Below are 7,300 nucleotides of genomic sequence, written 5' to 3' on the forward strand. Positions count from 1 at the left end.
ACACATGAGAATCATGCTGTGGCACTTGGAATGCAATGAATCAATGCCATAACTAGAAAGTTACTGTATATGGCTGGGCGTGGTGGCTCACGCCTGTAATCCCAGCACTTTGGGAGGCCAAGGCGGGCAGATCACGAGGTCAGGAGATCGAGACCATCTTGGCCAACATGGAGAAACCCCATCTCTACTAAAATATAAAAAATTAGCCAGGTGTGGTGGCGGGTGCCTGTAGTCCCAGCTACTCGGGAGGCTGAGGCAGGGGAATTGCTTGAACCCAGGAGGTGGAGGTTGCAGTGAGCTGAGATCACGCCACTGCACTCCAGCCCAGGCGACAGAGTGAGACTGTCTCAAAAAAAGGAAAGTTACTGGATATGTGATGCATCTCCTATTTCCAGGTCTTACTCCTTCTACAGTGAATATTGAATAAACCCTTAATAGGGCCTAGAGTCTCTCACACAGCACACCTCTCTCCCTTCTTCCCTTTTCCCTATCTTTTCTTCTTCCTTCCTTTCTTCCCTTCCTTCTACCTTCTCTCCTTGACTTTCCTCCTCAGTACTGTTTATTACTCTACTTCTGTCTTACTAACACCACCTAATAATTTGTCCCCTCAATCTACTTTTTTTCTAACAAGTTCTAAATGAATCAGTCTTTCTTAGCTCTAGTATAAATAACTGAGCTGATGAGCTCTGCCAACATAGGATTTAGGCGGCAGGGATGGAGCTGTCCTTACTACATGGTAGAAATGCTGGTCTTCAACAAATACTGACAGGTTACAGATTATTAGATTTAGAAATACCTGTCATTTTGTTTTCCCTTTCAAGGAAGGTAAAATACAAGGATATTTTAGTAGTCAGACAACATCAAGAAAATCAGAATAGGTGTCAGAATAGGACAGTAGTTGTCGAAGCCATGGGTTTTGCAGATGGTGAAGGTTGGTTTTTGAGTGCTAAGGAGTATATAAATGTCATCTTTCCTCTTCTTCTTCTTCTTTTTTTTTTTTTTTTTTTTTTTTTTGAGACGGCATCTCACTCTGTCACCCAGGCTGGAGTGCAGTGGTGTGATCTCAGCTCACTGCAACCTCTGCCTCCTGGATTCAAGTCATTCTCCTGCCTTAGTCTCCCACATCATACCCGGCTAATTTTTTTATTTTTAGTAGAGACGGGGTTTTAGTCAAGACAGGCTGGTCTCAAACTCCTGACTTCAGGCGATTCACCCACCTTGGCCTCCCAAAATGCTGGGATTACAGTTGTGAGCCACCACGCCCAGCCTAAATGTTGTCTTTCATATAAAATGTTCTAAACTATTTTGGGCCTGAGGTGAGTAAGATACCTACAAGATTATTTAAAATGCCAAGTGCATCCATAGCTAAAAGGAAAGGCTCAGCTAGACACAAAAAAGGAAAGCATCACCTCCTCTCCAATCCCCACAGGCCCTGCCTCTGCAGCACACCTAGGGCCTCCTGCTGCTGTGTAGGTGCACGTCGTATGCAGATAGACACACACTCACACACACTCGCACAGGCAGACACAGGCGTACACACTGGCTTGCCTTCCAGACTACCTGCTCCAACAGCAGGTCTCCAGCATTCAGGTTGCTGAGAACTGAGCCTTCGTGAGGCATTCCCAGAATGGCCCTCTGCCAGTGGGCTCAGCTGGGGCAGACAGCGGTCTCTCCATCTGACCATTATCACATCTTCTGCCCCTTCTATGTTGGAGTGAATTAAACCTTCCATACTATCTTACAAAGATTGCCTGCCCTGTTTTTTTCTTTTTTTTTTTTTTTTGAGACTTTTCTTCTTGGGAACTGAATCTATTCAGTAGGCTGGTATGCTCACAGAACTCAGGGGAACACATTTACTGCCTTATTTCATAGTAAAGGATATGATAAAGAATACAGATGGGCAGCCAGGTGGAGAAGTATTATACATAGGAAGAGATTTGGAAGGGATGCAAGCTCAGGAACTTCTGTCCCATGAAGTTGGGGTGCACCACACTCCTGGCTCATGGATGTGAGCTGGAAACTCTCCAAACCTGATACTTTAAAAGCTTCTGTCCTGTGGAGTTGGGGTGCACTGCCCTCCTGGCTCACGGCTGTGGAGTTGAAAACTCTCCAAACCCCATACTTTGGGGACTTTTTTTTTTTTTTTTTTGAGATGGAGTCTCACTCTGTCACCAGGACTGGAGTACAGCGGCGCACAGCAACCTCTGCCTCCCGGGTTCAAGCGATTCTCCTGAGTCAGCTTCCTGAGTAGCTGGGATTACAGGCGCCCACCACTACTTCCAGCTAATTTTTGGTATTTTTAGTAGAGATAGGGTTTCACCATGTTGGCCAGGCTGGTCTCGAACTCCTGACCTCAAGTGATCCGCCTGCCTTGGCCTCCCAAAGTGCCGGGATTATAGGCGTGAGCCACCGCGCCCGGCCTAGGGACTTTTATGAAGGCTTCCTTATGTAGGCATGGTTGATTATTAACTCAATCTGGAGCCCTCCTTCCTTCCCCAGAGGCTCGGGGCTGAAAGTTTGTAGCTTCTAGTCTTGGCTTGGTGTTTCTGGTGAACATGCAGGAGAAGCCCACCAAGTCTCGCCTCATTAGAACAAAGGATGTTCCCCATCACCCAGGAACTTCCAAGTGACTTAGGAGCTCTGTGTCAGGAACTGGGGTCAAATATCAAATATGTAATTTTATTATGCCACATTATTATATGATAATATAGCAAAAATTGGGGATGAGTAAATTCTGGAATATTGTAGACTTGGCAGAAACTTTAGGCTATTTTTTCCAATGTTTTGTGGTTACCAGAATGCTTTTGCAACCAGTAAAATTCCTTGAAGTCAATGAGTATTATCAGAAAATTTCATCTATATTTTACAAATTAATTTATGTTTTACTCACCAATTCCATTTCAAAGGAGATTTTGATATCAAGGAATTTATTTCAGTTTCTTTTTACAGGTCTCTTTTAAAACTTATTTTCTCCTGGTGCCCGGGCAGCACTGAACTCTAGTAGATTAGAATTTGTTAGAAACCCTGAACCGAAGAAATTTCTGAACAGCGTGACAAAATTAACCAGGCTACCGTTAACCAAAATGACAGTTATCTTATTATATAGTCAAATGAAATTTTGGCAATATAGCTAAAATAAAAATAACTGGAAAGTCAGCTGACCAGGAATCAATTCTTGGTCTTTGCTCAACCCAATCTTAGTTTCTTACTTCAGCCAAATACTTAGTATTTTACAATACACCAAGCATAACAACCCTTTTCACTCTCCTGCCTAATATAGAAAACATTGTTAAGTGGATGTCTGTGTGGCACTTTGAGCTGTTCAGATTTAAAAAGCTGCCTGGAAAAACTTAAGTAATGTTTGGTGTGAGGCAAGAAAGCAGGCCCTGTCAAATCCTACGGGTTGAAGTAGAAACAGGAACAGACTGTCTGGAAGACAAAGTGTCACTGAGCGGCAGAATCCTTATAATTTTGACTCATAATTCACCTTCTCCAAATTTATTCTAATAAATAATAGGGTATTGGTAAAATTATGCTATGTGGAATACTATACATTAAACCATTAAAAATGATTTAGTAGACTGTACAATAGAAGAAGAAAATGGCATGGAAAAATATTCATGATATGTCAAGTTTTTAAAAGTTATCAAACGGTGGGTATGGCATGATGGCATGTAAATGTATATATAGATATAAACATCGAGAGAGAGGTCGGGCGCGGTGGCTCACGTCTGTAATCCCAGCACTTTGGGAGGCCAAAGTGGGTGGATCACTTGAGGTCAGGAGTTCGAGACCAGCCTGGGCAACATCGTGAAACCCCATCTCTACTAAAAATACAAAAATTAGATGGGCGTGGTTGTGGTGGCAGTGCCTGTAATTCCAGCTACTCGGGAGGCGGAGACAGAATTGCCTGAACCTGGGAAGTGGAGGTTGCAGTGAGCTGAGATTGCGCCACTGCATTCCAGCCTGGGCAACAGAGTGAGACTCCGTCTCAAAAAATAATAATAAAAAAATAAATAAAAAATAAATACTGAGAGAGAGAAAATTAGAGAGCTAGATGTGTATATAAAGATAGATGTAGATGTAGTTGTAGATACAGATGCAAATATAGTCATAGAAATACATATGGCTCTAGAACATATATATGTATGCATGTATATCCATATATAGATACAGATATAGATTTCAATGGTTTAATGCATAGTATTCCATATTGCATAGTTTTACATATAGATATAAATGTGATGCTAAAATGTTAATAAAGACTTTCAAAGGTATGAGATTTGGGGTGATTTTTACTTTTTTTGCTTATCTATTTTTTTCTGAATAAACATGGATTTTCTTCAATAAACATGTAAGTTTTCTTCAATAAATATTTTGAAGAACTATTTTATAATATAAAAAATCATTTAAGTGAATGGCACTAGGAAAAAATAACATCTATAAACTAATTACTAGACTGTACCATACTTACTTTAAAAGAAACAAGCAAATCATTATGCATATTTTTATGTACTCATACTTTTCAAGGTTAAATTCTACAGATGTCAATTTTTGCCCTTTGGGCTTTATTGCAGGCAGGAGCTGTCTCTCCTGAGTCATATCGCCAGGTGATAAGGGAAGTGCATCACATCCACCATCCCAGGCCACAGTCTCAAAATTACAGCAGCTTTGATCTAGGGCTTCTTGAGGTGTAGCTGAATTTTCACACAAATTCTAGGTCACTAGGTCATCCATCACCTGAAACATGATAAGTCATTTAATGGTTGCTTGAATGTACTTTAAATTCATTTGGGAACTATATTCAGATTTTCAAAGTAAAGAGGAAAGTAAGTCCACACTGAACCTTTATTTAGCAAACAAAATGGGATCCAATTTATTAGCCAAAGTACTAATAGCGGGGTAGCACGAGGAACAGGAAAATTTATTCTGGCATCCAGCTCCTTCTTGTTTTATCCATCTGGGACTCCCTCCCCAGTTTAATAACAAAGAAGGAAATGTGGTCACCTCCACCAGGGAATATCACCTAGGAGTCAAATATTTCTGGTATAATATCCTCTCTGTAGAATGCTGGCTCTTAAGCAAAATGCTTTAAAGAAATGAATGTGGAAATTTTCTTTTTTGGCTTTAGAAGATTGGTATTCAACCTAAGACATGACAGAAGGCCTAGATGTTGTGCACAAAAAATATAGAAATGAACAATTACTGGTATCTTTCCATTCTTATTTAAGCTACAGTAGAGTCTCTTTAGAAAAGAGCACATGGAATAGACACATATATATGCTAAAAGGTTCAGTGCAGAGTTCTCACAGGGGAAGATTCTTTCATATTTTTAAATTTTCTTGAATCTGGTTTGTGGCATGGGAAAATAGATTGTTTCTTCTTTGCTTTCTGATTTAACAGTTAGCTTTCTGGTAACAATAATTAAAGAATAACTATCAAATTTCTTTTCTTTTTTTTTTTTTTTTGAGATGGAGTCTCGCTCTGTTGCCCAGGCTGGAGTGCAGTGGCGCAATCTCAGCTCACTGCAAGCTCTGCCTCCCGGGTTCACACCATTCTCCTGCCTCAGCCTCCCGAGTAGCTGGGACTACAGGTGCCCGCCACCATGCCCGGCTAATTTTTTGTATTTTTAGTAGAGACAGGGTTTCACCGTGTTAGCCAGGATGGTCTCGATCTCCTGACCTCGTGATCTGCCCCCCTTGGCCTCCCAAAGTGCTGGGATTACAGGCGTGAGCCACCGCGCCCGGCCTTCAAATTTCTCTTAAATCAGCTGAAAGAAACACATCATTCAGAGCACTGGGTATCTCTCCCTAATCTCCAGCCTCAGAAATTAGAGACTACTTAAAAAAAAAAAAAGTTAAGCTAATGAAACATATTCCTGAAAGATCTAGTTTTTGAGCCATCTATTTTTTTCTCTTCAAACTAATAAAATACGATAAATCTTTGTTGTCTAATTTGCTCAGTGGGAAACCCCATTGCATATAACCTTTCACATGCTCAGTGTCAAATGCGTCTTTTCTCTTCATTTCAATATCACAGTTGATTAACTGCTACCTACAGTGCAGACACAAGCTGTTTTTATGAAAAGGTGCTAAATATACAAAACAGGTTATTATTCAGCAGAGGCTATTTAGAAATATGTAAAAATTTAATTTACTTGTTTCTCCTACAAGAGGCTATTGCAAACACCATAAAATATATTCACTTACAGTCATAAAAGGGGGACTTATTGTACATTTCCTGTTTCCACTGAGGTCTGGTTATAGTTCCCACAGGTAGACAAAACACAAGAGAATTTTAACTTCCTTTAATAGTTGCTCAAACTGACTTTAGTTAATATAGAAGGAAATGGAAACAGGTTTTCAAAAATATGCTTGGACCTGAAAATTTGCTTTTTTCTTTTTTTCCTTTTCTTTTTGCTTGTAGCTATATTGTACCTTCTGGATGGTTGGGAATCTCTGGTTTGTATTTCTAAGTTGGTATTTTATCCTTTAGGTTTTTTTTTTTTTTTTTCAGTTGTTAATTGTGAGCTTTCTTTTCCTAAGGAAAAAAAAATCAGCTATCTTATTAAATTTTGCATAATATATTGAACTATAGCATCAAAGCTAGATTTCCTAAGCTACATTTTAGATTCTTTTCTCAGCAATGTACACTTACTTTTAAAAAAATAATAAAAAAAATAATAAAAATCCTTTTCCCAAGCACCCCCGTCTAAAGTTACAGCTGTATTTGGTTACTCGTTGGAGAGGAAGGCCGGTTGCCTTTCTTCTTGGCTTCCAAGCCTTGTTTCTGAATCCTTTCCACACACACAACTCTTATTTCAAAGAGAAACCCCACTGGGAGACTGGAAGACAGGACTGTGAGAGAAGGAAGTTATGTTAATTCCCCAACCCCAAAGACACCAGTGGGCACTTCAAATACTTAGGGAGAAAAAAAAAAGCTTCCTTCTAGATTGATTAAAAGTTTGGTGATCACATTTGCAAGTTTTCACAGCTCCACCATTACATCCCTCCTCCCCCATCGCACCAGTCACTTGCTTAGTCACAGATAGTGTCGCTGCTTAAGGAGCCAAGTAAGGCTGAATGTGACCCCTGTTTCCCCGTGGCAGCCTGGGCTCCAAGGTAATTGAAGACATGACGGCTGTTGATTTTGGCTGAGGCTCAGCAAGGACTTAATGTTTGGGGAAATCAATGGCACCACAGTAGGCCACAACCCAACCAAGTAGCTTCTCCAGCCTTGAGGAGTACTTTTGCCTCTCAAACTTGAAAGATTCCAAAAAAAAGGGAACAGGAAGTGCTAA

At 40.3% G+C, this 7,300-nt stretch overlaps 1 annotated feature.

Moving 5' to 3' along the window:
• Positions 6,521 to 7,022: an enhancer, noted in NCBI's record as "NANOG-H3K27ac hESC enhancer chr2:183771671-183772172 (GRCh37/hg19 assembly coordinates)". NCBI's record gives its function as "activates a minimal SCP1, AML or CMV promoter by ChIP-STARR-seq in naive H9 embryonic stem cells {active_cell/tissue: H9 hESC(naive)}" and the evidence as "EXISTENCE:reporter gene assay evidence [ECO:0000049][PMID:30033119]".

The sequence above is a fragment of the Homo sapiens genome, chromosome 2, assembly GCF_000001405.40.
Source record: "Homo sapiens chromosome 2, GRCh38.p14 Primary Assembly".
In the NCBI taxonomy this organism is placed as follows: Eukaryota; Metazoa; Chordata; class Mammalia; order Primates; family Hominidae; genus Homo; species Homo sapiens.